Source organism: Homo sapiens, chromosome 11 (genome assembly GCF_000001405.40).
Source record: "Homo sapiens chromosome 11, GRCh38.p14 Primary Assembly".
Taxonomy (NCBI): domain Eukaryota; kingdom Metazoa; phylum Chordata; class Mammalia; order Primates; family Hominidae; genus Homo; species Homo sapiens.
Window position 1 is genome coordinate 26978474 of NC_000011.10, and position 18995 is coordinate 26997468.

Here is an 18995-nt window from a genome sequence, read left to right on the forward strand (position 1 = left end):
TTTCCAGCTTCATCCATGTCCCTGCAAAGAACATGAGCTCATTCTTTTTATGGCTGCATAATATTCCATGATATGAACATTTTAAAATCTCCTGACACAAATAACCATATTGCTTTGCAGAAAGATCAAACAGATTTATAGCCTCACCTCCAATACATAAGAATGTTTGTTTCTCTGTGTCCATATGGTGTTAGGATATATATTTCTTGTCACTAAAATATAAGAAAAAAAATCTTTTTTTTTTATTTTTGGCTTTTTATTACTTTTAAAGCTATATGTTAAATAGGTATGTAATTTTCTCTACTGAAATCTGCTTATTTATGTTTCTTGCTCATTTATCTTTTGAGGTGCTATGCTTTTCTTACCAGTTTCAGTGAGCAGTTTACTCTAAGCAGATTAACCATTTCTGGTTTTTTTTGGATTTGTTTTTCCGGATTTGTTTTTCCTTTATTTCTTTCAAAAGAAAAAAAAAAAAACACGATATATGTGCAGAACATGCTGGTTTGTTGCACAGGTATATGTGGGCCATGGTGGTTTGCTGCACCTATTAACCCATCCTTTAAGTTCCCTCCCGTCACCCCAACCCCCAAAGAGGCCTTGGTGTGTGTTGTTGCCCTCTCCTGTGTCCATGTGTTCTTATTGTTAAACTCCCACTTATGAGTGAGAACATGCAGTGTTTGGTTTTCTGTTCCTGTATTAGTTTGCTGAGGATGATGGCTTCCAGCTTTATCCATGTCCCTGCAAAGGACAAAATCTCATTCCTTTTTATGGCTGCATAGTATTCCATGGTGTATATGTACCACATTTTCTTTATCCAGTCTAACATTAATGGGCATTTTGGTTGGTTCCATGTCTTTGCTGTTGTGAATAGTGCTGCAGTAAACCTACATGTAGATGTGTCTTTATAAAAGAATGACTTATATTCCTTTAGGTATATATACCTGGTAAGGAGATTGCTGGATCAGATGGTATTTCTGATTCTAGATCTTTAAGGAATTGCCATACTGTCTTCCACAATGGTTGAACTGACTTATATTCCCATCGACAGTGTTAAAGCATTCCTATTTCTCCATATCCTCACCAGCATCTGTTGTTTCCCGACTTTTTAATAATCACCATTCTGAGTGGCATGAGATGGTATCTTATTGTGGTTTTGATTTGCATTTCTCTGATGATCAGCAATGTTGAGATTTTTTTCATATGTTTGTTGGCCACATAAATGTCTTCTTTTGAGAAGTGTCTGTTCATATCCTTTGACCATTTTTTGATAGGGTTGTTTTTTCTTATAAATATGTTTAACTTCCTTGTAAATTCGTGATATTAGACCTTTGTCACATGGGTTGATTGCAAAAATTTTCTCCCATTCTGTAGGTTTCCTGTCCACTCTGACAATAGTTTCTTTTGCTGTGAAGAAGCTCTTTAGCTTAATTAGATCCCATTTGTTAATTTTGGCTTTTGTTGCTATTGGTTTTGGCATTTTTGTCATGAAGACTTTGCCCATGCCTATGTCCTGAATGGTATTGCCTAGGTTTTCTTCTAGGGATTTTATGGTTTTGGGTTTTACATTTAAGACTTTAATTCATCTTGAGTTAATTTTTGTATAAGATGTAAGGAAGGGGTCTGGTTTCAGTTTTCTGCATATGGCTAGCAAATTTTCCCAGTACCATTTACTGAATAGGAGATCTTTTCCCCATTGCTTGCTTTTGTCAGGTTTGTCAAAGATCAGATGGCTGTAGATATGTGGTGTTATTTCTGAGCTCTCTGTTCTGCTCCATTGGTCTATATGTGTGCTTTGGTACCAGTACCATGCTGTTTTGATTACTGTAGCCTTGTAGTATAGTTTGAAGTCAGGTAGCATGATGCCTCCAGCTTTGTTCTTTTTGATTAGGATTATCTTGGCTGTATGGGGTCTTCTTTGATTCCATATGAAATTTTAAAAAGTTTTTTTTTCTAATTCTGTGAAGAAAGTCAATGGTAGTTTGATGGGAATAGCACTGGATCCATAAATTACTTTGGGCAGTATGGCCATTTTCACAATATTGATTCTTCTTACCCATGAGGATGGAATGTTTTTCCGTTTGTTTGTGTCCTCTCTTATTTCCTTGAGCAGTGGTTTATAGATCTCCTTGAAGAAGTCCTTCACATCCCTTGTTAGCTGTATTCCTAGGTATTTTATTCTTTTTGTAGCAATCGTGAATGGGAGTTCATTCATGATTTGGTTCTGTGCTTGCCTATTGTTGATGTAAAGGAATGCTTGTGATTTTTGCACATTGATTTTGTATCCTGAGACTTTGCTGAAGTTGCTTATCAGCTCAAGAAGTTTTTGGGCTGAGATGATGGGGTTTTCTGAATATAAAATCTTGTCATCTGCAAACAGAGAAAATTTGACTTCCTCTCTTCTTATTTGAATATCCTTTATTTCTTTCTCTTGCCTGATTGCCCTGGCCACAACATCCAGTACTGTGTTGAATGGCAATGGTGAGAGAGGGCACCCTTGTCTTGTACCAGTTTTCAAAGGGAATGCTTCCAGCTTTTGCCTATTCAGTATGATATTGGCTGTGGTTTTGTCATAAATAGCTCTTATTATTTTGAGATACATTCCATCAATACCTAGTTTATGGAGAGTTTTTAATATGAAGGGATGTTGAATTTTATCAAAGGCCTTTTCTGCATCTATTGAGATAATAATGTTGTTTTTGTCTTTGGTTCTTTTTATGTGATGGATTACATTTATTGATTTGTGTATGTTGAACCAGTCTTGCATCCCAGGAATGAAGCTGACTTGATCGTGGTGGATAAGTTTTTTGATGTGCAGCTGGACTTGGTTTGCCAGTATTTTATTGAAGATTTTCACATCAATGTTCATCACGGATATTGGCCTGAAGTTTTCTTTTATTGTTGTTTCTCTTCCCAGTTTTGGTATCAGAATGATGCTGGCTTCATAAAATGAGTTAGGGAGGAGTCCCTCCTTTTTAATGGTTTGGAATAGAAGCAATGGTACCAGCTCCTCTTTGTATTTCTGGTAGAATTCGGCTCTGAATCTGTCTGGTCCTGGGCTTTTTTTGGTTGGTAGGCCATTAATTACTGCCTCAACTTCAGAGCTTGTTGTTTGTCTATTCGGGGATTCAACTTCTTCCTGGTTTAGTCTATCAAGGATGTATGTGTCCAGGAATTGATACATTTCTTCTAGATTTTCTAGTTTATTTTTGTAGAGGTGTTTATAGTATTCTCTGATGGTAGTTTGTATTTCTTTGGGGTCAGTTGTGATGTACCATTTATAATTTTTTTACTGTGTTTATTTGATTCTTCTCTCTTTTCTCTTTTATTAGTTTAGCTAGTGGTCTATCTATGTTGTTAATTTTTTTAATACCAAGCTCCTGGATTCATTGATTTTTTTGAGAGTTTTTCATTTCTCTATCTCCTTCAATTCTTTTCTGATCTTAATTACTTCTTGTCTTCTGCTAGCTTTTGGATTAGCTTCCTCTTGCCTCTCTAGCTCTTTTAACTGTGATGTTACGGTATCAATCTGAGATCTTTCTAGCTGTCTGATGTGGGCATTTAGTCCCGTAAATTTCCCTCTTAACACTGCTTTAGCTGTGTTTCAGTGATTCTGGTATGTTGTTTCTTTGTTCTCATTGCTTTCAAAGAACTTCTTCATTTCTGCCTTAATTTCTTTATTTACCCAGGAGTCATTCCAAAGCAGGTTGTTCAATTTCCATGAAATTGTGTGGTTTTGAGTGAGTTTCTTAATCCTGAGTTTTAGTTTGATTGGACTGTGGTCTGAGAGACTGTTACGATTTCAGTTCTTTTGCAGTTGCTGAGGAGTGTTTTACTTCCAATTATATGGTCAATTTTAGAATAAGTGCCATGTGGCACAGAGAAGAATGCATATTCTGTTGATTTGAAGTAGAGCATTCTGTAGATGTCTACTGGTCCACTTGGTGCAGAGCTGAGCTCAAGTCCTGAATATCCTTGTTAATTTTCTGTCTCATTGATCTGTCTAATATTGACAGTGGGTGTTAATACTGACAGTGGGTTACCACTATTATTGTGTGGGAGTCTAAGTCTCTTTGTACATCTCTAAGAACTTGTTTTATGAATCTGAGTGCTCCTGTATTGGGTGCATGTATATTCAGAATAGTTAGGTCTTCTTGTTGAATTTTTCCCTTTACCATTATGTAATGCCCTTCTTTGTCTTTTTTGATCTTTGCTGGTTTAAAGTATGTTTTGTCAGAGACTAGTATTGCAACCTCTGCTTTTTTTTTTTTTTTTGCCTTCCATTTGCTTTGTAATTTTTCCTCTATCCCTTTATTTTGAGCCTGTGAGTGTCTTTACACATAAGATGGGTCTCCTGAATACAGCACACCAATGGGTCTTGACTCTTTATCCAGTTTGCCAGTCTGTGCCTTTTAATTGGGGCATTTAGCCCATTTACGTTTAAGTTTAGTATTGTTATGTGTAAATTTGATCCTGTCATCATGATGCTATTTGGTTATTTTGCACACTAATTGATGCAGTTCCTTCAGAGTGTCATTTGTCATTATATTTTGGTGTGTTTTTGCAGTGGCTGGTACCGGTTTTTCCTTTCTATATTTAGTGCTTCTTTCAGGACCTCTTGCAGGGCAGGCCTGGTGGAAAAAAAAAATCCCTCAGCATTTGCTTGTCTATAAAGGATTTTATTTCTCCTTCTCTTATGAAGCTTAGTTTGGCTGGACATGAAATTCTGGGTTGAAAATTCTTTTCTTTAAGAATGTTGAATATTGGTCCCCAATCTCTTCTGGCTTGTAGAGTTTTTGCCAAGAGTCTACTGTTAGTCTAATGGGCTTCCCTTTGTAGGTGACCTGCCTTTCTCTCTGGCTGCCCTGAACAGTTTTTCCTTCATTTCAACCTTGGAGAATCTGATGATTATGTATCTTGTGATTGATCTCGTGGAGTATCTTAATGATGTTCTCTGTATTTCCTGAATTTGTGTGTTGGCCTGCCTTGCTAGGTTGAGGAAGTTCCGGATAATATCCTGAAGTGTGTTTTCTAGCTTGTTTCCATTCTCCCTGTCTCCTTCTTGTACTCCAATCAATCATAGATTCAGTCTTTTTATGAAGTTTCATATTTCTTGGAGGTTTTGTTCATTCCTTTTCATTCTTTTTTCTCTATTCTTGTCTGCATGTCTTATGTCAGTAACGTTGTCTTCAAACTCTGATTTTTTTTCCACTTGGTCGATTCAGCTGTTGATACTTGTGTATGCTTCACGAAGTTCTCATGCTGTGTTTTTCAGCTCCATCAGGTTGTTTTTTGCTGGCTGCTGCCCCTCCCCTAAACAGCTCAAATGGCTTAGACAGCAGGCAGCCAAAGCTGGTGCTGGTCGCCCCTCCCTCTGGGAGTTCAGTAGGCTTAAGCAGATTCCAGCTGAGAGGCTGTAAGAATCTGCATGTTCCAGGGTTGGAACACTAGGCTTCAGTGGCGTGAGTTCGTGAGTGGAATCTTCCAATCTGTGGGTTGCACAGTTCCATGGAAAAAGCAGTTTCTTTGGCTGTGTAGTGGGCTCACTTACCTCCTTCCTTGGCTGGGGGAAAAGGGCATCCCTGCCCTGTGTGGCTCTCAGGTGGGCTGCTGTACCACACTGGTCTTCCTTCTTTCAGTGGGTCATGCCAGCCTTCTAGTCAATTTTGTTCAGAGAACCTTGATCCCTTTGTTGCTGGTGAAGGAGTCACATGATTGTTACAGTTTTTTCAATGGGAGACTCCGAGCACCATTGCTTCTAGTGGGCCATCTTATTATTGCAGATTAACCATTTCTTATCAAAACTTGTTGCAAATCTTGTCCCAGTTTTTTTCATTGTGACTGTAATGATTTTTACATACATTTTTAATGAAATAATATATATTATACTTGTCTTCTATAGCTCTTTACATTGTTTTGTTTGCTTTTCATTCTTTACACAGCTGCCATAGCATGCTAAACATATGATTAGCTGTGACCCAGACTCTCTACCAACACATCAAGATTCATTTGTCATAAACAGAAAGATTGCAGGAAAAGGTCATCAGTGAACGAATATGTCTCCTCTGTCTAAATAATCCTTAATTACACCATACGTAACCCCTATCGGATAGTGTTGACCATGTGAATGAATTGTGCCATGATTTGGAGTGGTTTTCCCCTGCCAAAACTCATGTTGAAATTTGATTCCCAATATGGCAGTGTTAAATGGTGGAGTCTACTGGAGGGTGTTTGTTTCATGGGTGAATAGATTAATGCCCTCTTGCAAGAGTTAAGTGAGTTCTCACTCTCTAGAGAATGAATTAGTTCCTGAGAGAGCAGTGACTCCAACCTCTCCTGCATGTCTCTTTGGACACACCTGCTTCCCTTTCCACTTTCTGCCATAAATTGAAGAAGTGTGCAACCCTCATCATATGGGCTGCCCAATCTTGGACTTTCCAGCTCCAGAATCATGAGCCAAATAAACTTTATTTTTATAAATTACCTAGTCTCAGGTATTCTGTTATAGCAACACAAAACTGACTAAGACAAATTATACCTCAAGTCTGTATCCTCTTAAGTCAGCAAACTAACACAGGAACAGAAAAACCAAACACAAACACCGCATGTTCTCACTCATAAGTGGGAGTTTAGCAATGAGAACACATGGACACAGGGAGGGGAGCATCACACACTGGGATCTGCCCAGGTATGGGGGGCTAGGGGAGGGACAGCATTAGGAGAAATACCTAACGTAGATGATGGGTTGATGGGTGCAGCAAACCACCATTGCACATGTATACCTATGTAACAAACCTGCATGTTCTGCACATTATCCCAGAACTTAACGTATAATTTAAAAATAAATAAATACATAAAATAAAATAAAAAACACCAAATTAAAAAAAATATTTGCTTAATATTTCTATCAACATATATTTACTGAGCACCTACTTGAAGTTGGTCAGATTGAAAAGCATCACAGTTGTAACAAAAATTATTCTCTTAATTGAGATTCTATGCCTAAAAAGTATATTTAAGTGATTTCTTACATAGCAAACATCTGGATGAGCTTACTCTTCCACCTCCATCTGTTTGACATTTGAAGTCATCAGGTTCATCAGCAATAAAGGTCAAATAAGGAGTAAGTAAAGGAAGTGAGAAGTAAAGTGTGCATATTTACTATGCATGACAAACGAAGCTGCAAAATAAGAAGTGGAGTAAGTTGGTTCCACCCTGGAACTAAAATCTGGAAATAAACTTTCTGAAGCATAATCAGACTTCTGCTCCCAAAGGCAATAATGCCAAGCCCATTTTGATTCATCTCCAAAATAGCCTCTGTTATCCTCTTCCAACAGCATTTCTTTAGAATTAAAATTGTATTTGGATTAGGATTAAAAAGCTAATCAAGGACTTGTTCACTGCAGGACAATTTTTAAATCTTCAAGATCTGGAAGAAAGGCAGCCAAGAACCATGAAACATAACAGTGGAAGATGTTCTTGTTTTCTGACAAAGCGAAGAAAGATGCTGTTACTAACCTTGCCATATCCTCCACTCCCTACCCCAGCTGATTTCTGAATGTCATTAGTTTGACCATTTTATGGCCTCCTTTACAAGTTTTGTTCAGACCGAAAACAGCATACTACACTGAGTAAGGAGACAGACTGACTCAGTCCCATTCTTCTTTAATAACCTCAGTCAGTGGCTCTTGGCCTAAAAGTCTCATGACGCTTTTTCTCTTCCCAAGTAGATATGAGCTTTTACTTTCCCAAATCATCCTTCTTTGCACATGCTGGTAGGTGCATATTGTACGACACTCACTGTATACAGTCATGCATTGCTTAATGATGCAGATACATTCAGATAAATGTGTTCTTGGGCAATGTAATCATCATGCACATGTCATAGAGTGTACTAACACAAACCTAAGATAGTATAGACTACTACACACCTAGGCTATACACTATAGCCTATTGCTCCTATGCTACAAACTTGTACAGCATCGTGGTACTGTACTGAATACTGTGGGCAATTATACTACAATGATATTTGTGTATCTAAACTTATCTAAGCATTTATAAATGAACAGTCAAAGTATACTATTATAATCATATGAGACCACCATCATATATGTGGTGTGGCATTGACCAAACATTGTTATGCAGCGTATGACTATACTTCCAACCATGGCATTCATTTGCAGACTCTTTGTATGCTACTCTTCTCCCTCCCAACAGATTGTATCGATGCATATACTTCTTGTTTCCTTTTGTGGTTGCTGAACAAAGTGCTTGCAGAATTGAAGTGAGACTGGCAGAGTCTCTTTCTTATACTCTATCTCTGCCTTTTGTCATTTCCCCAGTTCTTTTGAGCCTGAAAATTAAAATGATGAGAAATATAATTGGCTGAATATTTGTGTCCCCGTAAATTCACCTGTTAAAATGTAATCACCAATGTGATGATATTATGATGTGGAATGTTTGGGAGGTGATTAGGTCATGAGGGTGGAGCCCTCATGAATGGGATTACTGTCCTTATAAAAAGGATCTCAGAGAGCTCCTTTACCCCTTGTACCATGTGAGGACATAGTGAGAAGACCACCACCTGTGAGTTATGAAGTGGGCCCTCACAGACACCAAATCTGCTGGTACCTTGATTTTGGACTTCCCAACCTCCAGAACTGTGAGAAATAAATTTTTATTGTTCGTACGCCATCCAGCCTATGGAATTCTGTTATAGTAGCCCAAACAGGCTAAGACAAGGAAAAATAAAACACTGCTTACAGAGGGAAAATAAACAAGGTCTGAGTTTTCTCCAGACCTGCGTGGATCATAATCCAGGATATGCACTTTCAACAGAAGAAAAGTGAAAATATTTACTGGGCAAACCGCGCATTACCCTGCAGGGTGGTCTGATACTTCTCTACTTTACAGACCACAGTGCACTAGGACTACATGTACAGATTGCTGCATACTTTACTTAGAATGGGTCAAAAGTCTCCTTTCTGAGTGATACTCCCTTCTGAATGTTTTGAACATTGGAATTCATAGGGCTCTCTCCTTTCTTTCTTGCCAAGATTATTAGGATTGAGTGAGACCATCACTGGCTGACTGTTGGCCAGACAAAACATGTATTCAAACAGACAAATTATCTGACCATTATTAAATAACAGAATTCCTTAAATTCTACAGTTTAGCTATCACAACAACTAACAAATGTTTGGCCCTTGCTATATGCTTGGCTCTGTGCTAATCACAGGGAATATAAAAGCAAATAAAATATACCCTTATCCATACCCTTGAGGAACTCTCAGTCTAGTGGGAGAGATAGACAAGTTAACAAATATTCCAGTACAATGCAATACATACTATAAAAGAACAAAGAAAAAGTGCCATTGAAACACTAACTACAAAATCATCTTGTTGAAATATTAAATAGGAAGTGATCAACTTAACCTGGAATGCCAACATGTATTCACTGAGTACCTCCTGTGATCCAGTTACAAGGGAATGATGAAAAGAACTAACTAATGTTCAGAAATCAAGGAGGGGCTTTTAGAGGAAATGAAATTACAACCAAGATATGAGAGGTGAGCTGGAATTAGCTAGGAAAGAAATTACAAAAGGGGGATCCTAGCAGAGAGATAGCATGAGTGAAGATCTTCAGATGAGATGTAAGTATTTACAGAAGCCTGTATAGCTTGAATATAGGAAACTAAGTTGGGAGTCCCAGGAGATGGAAATTTAGAGGCTGGGACCAGACAACTCAAGTTCTGGTAGGCCAGCTAAAGAGATTATATTTTTGTCTAAGTGCACTGGGAGGCCATTAAAGTGTGTAAATTGGTAGTCAAATTTCTCCCAAATATCTCTGAGTCCTTCTCGCATGTTTAAATGAGCATGGTACAGTACTGTACTGATAAACACTATTTGATCCTCTGGTGCAAGACCCTACCACTTTGTAGCACTCTCCTCTTCTGAATGAACTCCTGCACTCATTTTCAGTGATTACATCTCCTTATTGAGGATTTAACTGTCTCCTGTCTCCCCTCTCTGACTGTCCCCACATACCTTACATCTAGTACCTGTGTCCCCAGAATCCCCTTTAGCCAAGCTGATCTGTAGTCTTCCAACTTCTTAGGATGTTTTCTCTCCTCTAGCTTCCTGTAGCACCAATCCCTTCAACCTCCTTCCCTTCCTTCAGATTCTTACTTCCACTTCTCTGACTCTCCCTAGCTCCTCTCTTCTATGATTTGGTGTGTACTGTGTTCGTGGGTGAAGTGAGCAGAAAGGTTCAGATTCATTGAATCTGATAATGATAATAAATTGTTTGTAGTCTTTTTCTTTGCTTGTGTTTTCTATCTTGACTGAAAATATGAAATATTTGCATTACTGTAGAATGTATGTCACAATTTACATACTCCCTGCTTGGCAGTTTTAGAGCATTTCTAATAGGTATTTTTCCTGCAGAAAAGTGTGGTAGAGACACCTACTGAGCATTTACATCTGGTTTTTCTCTCCTTCTGGGCACATAAAAGGGTAAGACTCCCTTTCTCTTTGCACTGAGGCAGGGCCATGTCACTAGCCAAAGGGCTGTAATGCCAAAGTGACATGTGTCACTTCTGAGCCAGTGCATTCAAGTACAGCACAAGACTCTCCAGAGCCCTGGTCCCCTGCTGCACCAACCGAGGAGGTCCCACGTTGCAGAAGGTGCATCAGAGTTGCTATATAGAGGAAAGTTGCTGAGTTACCTTGACCTGCAGTGAACTTGAATTTGATGTTAGCATTTTTGTGACATCTGTTATCATAGCATATCAAAGCATATTCTGATATTCTCACTAATACAGAAAGGTTGTGAGAATTGATCAGACTCCCTTCCCACATTATACTTATTTCCTTGCAAGCATTCTCATTGTCTTCATAGGTGTGTTTTATTCTCTATATTTGATAGGAAGTTTGTTTGTGATTATTCTTTTTAATTAATTCTCCCTCTGCCTCTAACCAATGTTCTTGTAGTAAATAATCATATTCACTTCATTGAGTTAACATAACAGAAAGCACAGACTAAATAATCAAAATTTGTTTCACTCTCACCTTTCTTTTCTTCTTTCCTTTTATCCTTCCTTCCTCGCTACCTTTTCTTCCCTTCTTGCTTTTCTTTCTTTCTTTTATCCATTTCTCCCCCTCTGTCCTTTTCACCTTCTGCAAACAATGTCTGCTCAGTAAATGCTACTGATTACCTATTAATTGATTTTTTTTAATCCCTAAAGCGCTAAGTTCTATGTCCTTCCCCTTATCTCCCCCTCTATTCTTGCTTTCCCCTCTCCTTCCACCTTGAGACCCCTACTCTGGTTTAGAATAACACGTTTTTGTTGTGTTTTTTTGTTTTGTTTTGTTTTCTCCTTTGACACGGTTCAGGGACTCAACCTGACAGTTTGAGGGAATCTTGAGAATGAGGGTTTCCATCTCCCCTTTGGGTTTCTAGGCTGCATAGTGGAACCTAATCTCCCCAAAACCTCCTTATACTCCTTTCTATAAAAGTTATTCTATCAAAATAATCAGAAATAGTAAGAAGATCACAAAAACCTTTGACAAGGAGAAGTCACAGAATTTAAAGATCTGTCACATAGATCTTTAGGCTCATAATTCCAATGTAAATTTCTACTTTCTTCTCTAAAGTGATAAATGATCTAAAGAAAATTTTAAAATGCACTGAAAATGATAAAGCATAAGTAATTCTTGAGCTAGCAAATTTTGCTGGCACTGTGTATATAAGCGGCTGGAATTGGGCAATGATGCTCATCTATTTACTTATACGACTCTGGCCATTACTCCTGAGGTACTCCTTTATGCTTACATGCACCCAGTTTCTGTCCTTTAATTTGGTTCCTGGTCTTCAGCCGTAGATGCAACTCAACTACTGCCCTTATCTACAGATGGTGCTTCTTGATTTTACTCTTCAAAGTCCTCTGTCTGGCATCTCTGTGTTTAGACATTTCCTCTGGCTTTATTCATTCTAGGTCAACCCTCAGAAACCCACCTCAGTTCTAACCTTAGCAGCCCAAGATGGACTTGGGCACATATGAACAACAGAACTAAAAACATTTTAAAAGTGAACATGAAGCATTTAACCAGAAGGCCATGTTGTGCTACTTTCCAAGTCAGTTGTTAAACATGGACATTATTAAAAATAAACTGGCCGGGTGCAGTGGCTCATGCCTGTTATCCTAACACTTTGTGGACCAAGGCAGGCAGATTCCCTAAGCCCAGGAGTTCCAGACCAACCTGGGCAACATTGTGAAACCCTGTGTCTACAAAAGAAAATACAAAAACTAGCCAGGCATGGTGGTGCACACCTGTACTCCCAACTACACAGGAGGCTGAGGCACGAGGATCACTTGAGCCTGGGAGGTTGAGGCTGCAGTGAGCTGTGATCTTGCTACTGCACTCCAGCCTAGGCAACACAGCAAGGCCATGTCTCAAAATAAATACATAAAAAATAAATTAAATAAATAAATAAATAAACTAAACTTTTAACTAAGCTATGTTAAAATAAAGGGAATATATACGCAAAACTAATCACTTCTTAATTATTTTACTAGATTTTTACTATTTTCTATTCTCTTGGGGTTATTTGCATCTAATGTATCTGTATGATGATTATATAATGGTATACCACTGTGCATGTCTTCCCAACTTTGAGTTCAATGACATTAGCCATTGTGAGAGTATTTAGACTAAGGAAATCAACAAATACTACAAATCAGGGTGTTTTCCTCCATATACCCAACTGATCAACACTTATCAGCAAGGGTGGCAGTTTCTCTTCGATGTGGTTAATGAAGACAAAACCATAAGGTAGGGGAATTATTCATGGTTACTTCCCCAGAATGTACTCCCATACTGTTCCTTTCCTTAACAGAACACTAAATAACCCAGCCATATAGTTTGCTTGATACCTTGCCTTCAGCTACAGAATGGGGCCCTTATTGTCTTAAGCAAAGTGGTTTAATCCCAAATCTCACTACAGTAAGCCTGGTTTGAAGACATATTCATGATCCAAATCAGGCCACCCATGACCACTGAGGCTGATTTGAGGGAGCTGCATTTGAGCTACCAGGAAATTCAATCTGTCATTCCTGTTACATATGAATAAAGAAGCACAAAGCTCTGGAAGACACTGGTAATCATCTTAGAACACAAACGAAAGAGACTGCCCATGCATGAATATAAGCTGAGGACATAAACCAAGAAATAGTGAGAGAAAAACTAGGTTGGACTAGGCCTTCTCTGAATATCTAATCTTAGGCTTCCTGTAAGTTAATGCCCTTAGTTAGACTGAAGTGGACTTTTAGTTATTTGTACAAAAATGATTCCTTTCTAATACACAATATGGAGTGTGTATCTTTAGATGAGGTCTTTGCAGGAAGAAAGTAAACACTCTTCACACTCTTCACCCTTCGTATGATAACTTTATATGGGTATATGCCCGACTCTTCAACCAGGGAGCAAGCTCTTTGTAGGCTGAAACTTCTTATTGCACATCTTTGTGTCTGTAGTTACCTTAATACTGCACCCTGCAAGTGGGGAGCAAGTAGTAAGTGCTTAATATAGGTTTGCTTAATTGAATTGGTTAGTAAGTCAGAGAGAGATTGTGCAAGAAATGGAATGAATCAGAGTAAATTCCTCTTCGCTTCTTTGGCCAAGCAGCCAATATGAATCCATCTGTTGTCATTTCTGAATGTCCCAGAGAAAAAGGAATGAAGCAATGTAGCTCTTGAGTCCAACAGTCCAGTCTTTCAACTGAAGGAAGTTGTAGTTTTCTTCTGGGATAGAGTGAAAATAGGCCTTGGTCTTCCACTTGGCATAAACAGTAAGAAAACTCCTTTGGTCTATGTTTCCATGATGCTAAGTATCTGGATAAGAATGAAAATGTGCAGTCAACATGCTTCAGAAACTCCATGCATGTGATACCACATCAGCAAAATATCAAGTTACTTAACCAGACTTCTCATTTTCTCTGCAGGAGTCTGGGTTGTTTATATCCATGAAAGTGATGACAATGAGTATAACTGTCCCAGAACAGTGTGGCACTGTGAGTCTGAATGAAGCCAGTCCCTTATTACTTGGGGAGGGAGATAGGTATGGAACACTGGCAAGTCAACATGAATGTTTCAGTTACATTTCAAGGAAGAAGGAGAAAATACCCATAGAAACAGGAGTGCTGCCTGCTTCTGCTTTCCCATGCTTCCTCTGTTTCTTTTCTTCCACAGCCCTATTGATGTCCAACTTACATCTTATTTATTTACATATTTTTCTTTTTTTGAGAAAAGGTCTTACTCTGTCACCCAGGCTGGACTGCAGTGGTGCGATCTAGGCTCACAGCAACCTCCCTCTCCTGGATTCAAGCAATACTCCTGTCTTAGCCCCCTGAGTAACTGGGATTACAGGCATGCACCACCATGTCCAGCTATTTTTTTTTTTTTTTTTTGTATTTTCAGTAGAGATGGAGTTTCACCATGTTGGTCAGGCTGGTCTCGAACTTCTGACCTCAAGTGATCCACCCACCTCTGCCTCCCAAAGTGCTGGAATTACAGACGTGAGCCACCACGCCTGACCTATTTTCAAAAATTTAAGTTTTCTATTTCCCAAAATATAAGTGCCAGGAAGGCAAGGATTTGTCTTTATTTTTGTTCACAGCTGTATTCCCACTACCTCAAATAGATTTTGGCATGCAGTAAATGCTCAAGAAATATTCATTAAACAAATGAATGGCCTTTAGGATGGCCATTTGCCAATAAGTTCATAAATTAGAAATTAAAATGGCCAGGTTAAAAAAAAAAAAAAAAACATTGTTTTTCTCCCCCCAAGTTAAATTAAAAGACCTTGTGACAATTAGTTCTGGCTCAACTAAAGTCTAACTGTGTGACTATAATCAATTTGCTTAACATTCTGCTCCTTCATTTCTCCATCTGGAAAATGGGCATAATAGTACCAGAAACATTCTTCAAAAGCTTTCAAGACTCTCAAAAGAGGCAACAACTATAAAAGCATTAGGTTCAAGATTCAATGCAGATGCTTAGCATTGTTTCATAAAATTAAATAAGGATCTCATTGTCCTTTAACTCACTAAGCTGGCAAAATTTCATTTTTCTGCTTCTGTTCTTATACATACTAAAGACTATACATTAAGCAACTTTCTGTATTTTCATTTCATCCAAAGTATTGTTGATATAAATTTTAATTAACCAATCATTTTCAAACAAAACTGTAATTTCTGACACTTTAAATTTGCCTTCAAAGTCACAAAGTTTTAAAGATAAAAATAGATATACTCAGAAAATCCAACCTGATATTTATTGAGACACGTGAAATGGCATTTTTCCAGGGTAATCATTCCTTCCCCCTCCCAATATGTCAATAACAAACCAGGGTTTTTGTGGTGGAAATTCCATTTATTCTCTTCTCATTTTCTCTTTCGAGCTAAATTCTATTGTAGAGTCTTCCCTTCCAACCTTTAAAAAGCGACCCTGTACCTTTAATAGTGGAGACCTGGTGAGAGGTTCTTTTCCAAACTTGTTCCCTGGCTTCCAAGTGACGAAACCAGCTGTAATTTGAGAGCAGAGAGATCCTCAGGATATCTTTAGCCAAAGGAAAAGCTCCGCATTCCCACCCAGTCCAGAAATTGAAATACTATCAGGGGGCAAGAGCCTTTCTCTCCAGCTACACACTCCATCTCCCGGGAGCAAGGGGAAACTCCGAGAGGAGGGCAACAGAGCCAGCATCTTGCCAGGGCCCCGGAGGAGGGGTTCCCCGCTACGCCTGTGCCGGAGGAGTTCCAGTCACCGAGCGAGGGGCGCAAGGGTGGGTGCATCCTGCGCTGCGGCGGGCGCGCTACCCAGACGCTGGTGTGCAGAGCCACATGAAGCCTGCTGGGGACTGGGGGCCAGGGAGCAGCAAGCCAGCTGGGACTGAGGCGGACGCTGTCTCAGGGAGACGCTGACTCGCAAAGACACTCCCTTCCTTGTGCCTGGGTAAAAAGTCTCCTCCTGGGGTCCCTGGCCATCCTGAATATCCAGAATGGTGTTTCTGAAGTTCTTCTGCATGAGTTTCTTCTGCCACCTGTGTCAAGGCTACTTCGATGGCCCCCTCTACCCAGAGATGTCCAATGGGACTCTGCACCACTACTTCGTGCCCGATGGGGACTATGAGGAGAACGATGACCCCGAGAAGTGCCAGCTGCTCTTCAGGGTGAGTGACCACAGGCGCTGCTCCCAGGGGGAGGGGAGCCAGGTTGGCAGCCTGCTGAGCCTCACCCTGCGGGAGGAGTTCACCGTGCTGGGCCGCCAGGTGGAGGATGCTGGGCGCGTGCTGGAGGGCATCAGCAAAAGCATCTCCTACGACCTAGACGGGGAAGAGAGCTATGGCAAGTACCTGCGGCGGGAGTCCCACCAGATCGGGGATGCCTACTCCAACTCGGACAAATCCCTCACTGAGCTGGAGAGCAAGTTCAAGCAGGGCCAGGAACAGGACAGCCGGCAGGAGAGCAGGCTCAACGAGGACTTTCTGGGAATGCTGGTCCACACCAGGTCCCTGCTGAAGGAGACACTGGACATCTCTGTGGGGCTCAGGGACAAATACGAGCTGCTGGCCCTCACCATTAGGAGCCATGGGACCCGACTAGGTCGGCTGAAAAATGATTATCTTAAAGTATAGGTGGAAGGATACAAATGCTAGAAAGAGGGAATCAAATCAGCCCCGTTTTGGAGGGTGGGGGACAGAAGATGGGGCTACATTTCCCCCATACCTACTATTTTTTTATATCCCGATTTGCACTTTGAGAATACATCTAAGGTCATCTTTCAAAAGAGAAAAATTGGACACTTGAGTGACTTTGTTTTTAGTTTTGTTTTTGTACATTATTTATGTGATTGTTATGGAATTGTCACCTGGAAAGAACAATTTTAAGCAATGTCATTTCTAGATGGGTTTCTAATTCTGCAGAGACACCCGTTTCAGCCACATCTAAAAGAGCACAGTTTATGTGGTGCGGAATTAAACTTCCCCATCCTGCAGATTATGTGGAAATACCCAAAGATAATAGTGCATAGCTCCTTTCAGCCTCTAGCCTTCACTCCTGGGCTCCAAAAGCTATCCCAGTTGCCTGTTTTTCAAATGAGGTTCAAGGTGCTGCTTTGCATGCCTGCCAACCCATGGAAGTTGTTTCTTACTTCTTTTCTCTCTTATTTATTAACCATGGTCTGAGAGTTGTTTTTGTTCTATGTAACAGTATTGCCACAAAACTATAGGCAAATCGTGTTTGCAGGGAGATTTCTGATGCCTCTGTGGGTGTGTGTAAGTTAAAGTGGCCACATTTAAGAAGGCCAAGCTTTGTAGTGGTTGCACAGTCACACTGATATGCTGATTTGCTCTTTCTCATTGTATGTCTATGCTTTGTCATCAGTGCTATAGTAAATTACAAAGAAATAGGTAGATTGTATGAACATACCCACAAATGCCTATGATTTAGGTTACCAATGTATTCTTTCTCATTTGGGGTTTTGCTTCTGTCTGTCTGTTTATTGGAAACTTGTACTTCAAGTAGGGGGAATCCTAATTCTAATAACTCCTTAGCTAAGTTTTATTATTCAGGCAATAAACATGTTTTCATGTAATACTGGCTTACTTTGTAATTTACATCTGTAACTTTCATATTTCTAAAAGGGGCCAATGCAAAAGGAGAGAGAAGGACTGGATTTAAGCCAGTTTACTTAGAGTATATGATAAAGAAGGCAGAGGAATAGCTACATATTTGGCAATTCTCCTCTCTGTAGTCACCCTGACATCCTCACAAGAAAACAAATCTAGCCATTGCCCAAACTTTAAATTTGATCTCTATAGGTCTGCTTAAAGACTCAAATTTTCTCCAGTTTCTCTCATAAATTCAATTGCAAAAGTTTCTGACAAGGCTCATACCCTGTACCCTTATGCAGAGCAAGCATTCCATCCTAAGTTATAAACTACAGTGATGTTTAATTTTGAAGCCAGGTCTACATTATTTAATTAATGGCTTCAAAAGGTGGAGATGCACTTTATTTAATGTCTTTCCCTAGCTAATTCTTACTCTCACCTTAAATATGCTTTCTTGTTGCATATATGCACAGATACACACACACACACACACGAAAATAAATAAATGTTCATATTCTTCTGTTCAACAGACATTTATTTTCTCCTCTCCCTTGAATAAGAAAATAAGTTTTCCATTCCTATGAACTGTCTAATATCTTTCTATTACAGAAGGGGAAACTGAGGCTGGGAAAGGCTAAATGACTTATCCTCCATCAGTTATAACAGCCCCTGGTCTTCTTAAATTTAAACACGGGACTTCCCGAACTAATTTTTTTAAGGATACTGAAAAATGAGAGAGAGTGGTCGAATGCCTGAAATTTTGCTTAACTTACTGTACTTAAAATCAATTATAACTTCTTTTTGTTACTCAGGGCCCCACTTTTTGTTGCTTTCTAGACTTGTGTGTAGAAAGAAGATTAATGATCACTTAAAGTAGTTTCCTTCTTTATTCTGAAAAAATGAGGAAAAAATAACAACAGTGGCAAATAAAATCATATTTGGTACTAAAATGTTTGTAGTTTGAAGTCACAATCATTCATGCCTCAAAACATTTATATCACTCACTTCATAGTGATCATTTGGTAATTCATAGACTTACAAATGTCATCTCCTTGATTTTCCCAGCTGTAATGGGAGGATATTGGGCATGTGATAGTGATGGAAAACTGTTTTCCCTGTGCATGCTAATTTCAATCTATTGGTAATGCTTCCATACCATATTATGTTATCAAGGATTCAAAAGACACAGAAGTGAAGAGTGTCATCCCTAATTAGAGATATCTTCCATGGGTGCAGGAAGGGGAATGGTAACACATCTGCTACAAATTTGAAAACCCTGAAATAGATTATGTATGAGGTTCTTTCCAGTGCTAACATTCTATGATTCCTAC

The 18995-nt window shown here is 39.3% G+C and overlaps 1 protein-coding gene and 1 long non-coding RNA gene across 2 annotated transcripts; one reads left to right on the forward strand and one right to left on the reverse strand.

The window, feature by feature from the left end:
• Nucleotides 1-13425: 13425 nt before the first annotated feature.
• Nucleotides 13426-15638, reverse strand: LOC124902650 (uncharacterized). The gene is made up of 2 exons (XR_007062630.1): nt 15510-15638; nt 13426-13889 (listed from the first exon to the last, which is right to left on the reverse strand). It is a non-coding gene; the product is annotated as an uncharacterized LOC124902650 (long non-coding RNA).
• Nucleotides 15639-18614, forward strand: FIBIN (fin bud initiation factor homolog). The gene has a single exon (NM_203371.2). It carries the CDS (start codon nt 16054-16056, stop codon nt 16687-16689), a length of 636 nt encoding a protein of 211 aa, NP_976249.1. The 5' UTR covers nt 15639-16053; the 3' UTR covers nt 16690-18614.
• Nucleotides 18615-18995: the final 381 nt, after the last annotated feature.

Excerpts from the sequence above, each read along its gene's own strand:
- FIBIN (NM_203371.2), top strand. The coding sequence starts at position 16,054 with ATGGTGTTTCTGAAGTTCTTCTGCATGAGTTTCTTCTGCCACCTGTGT.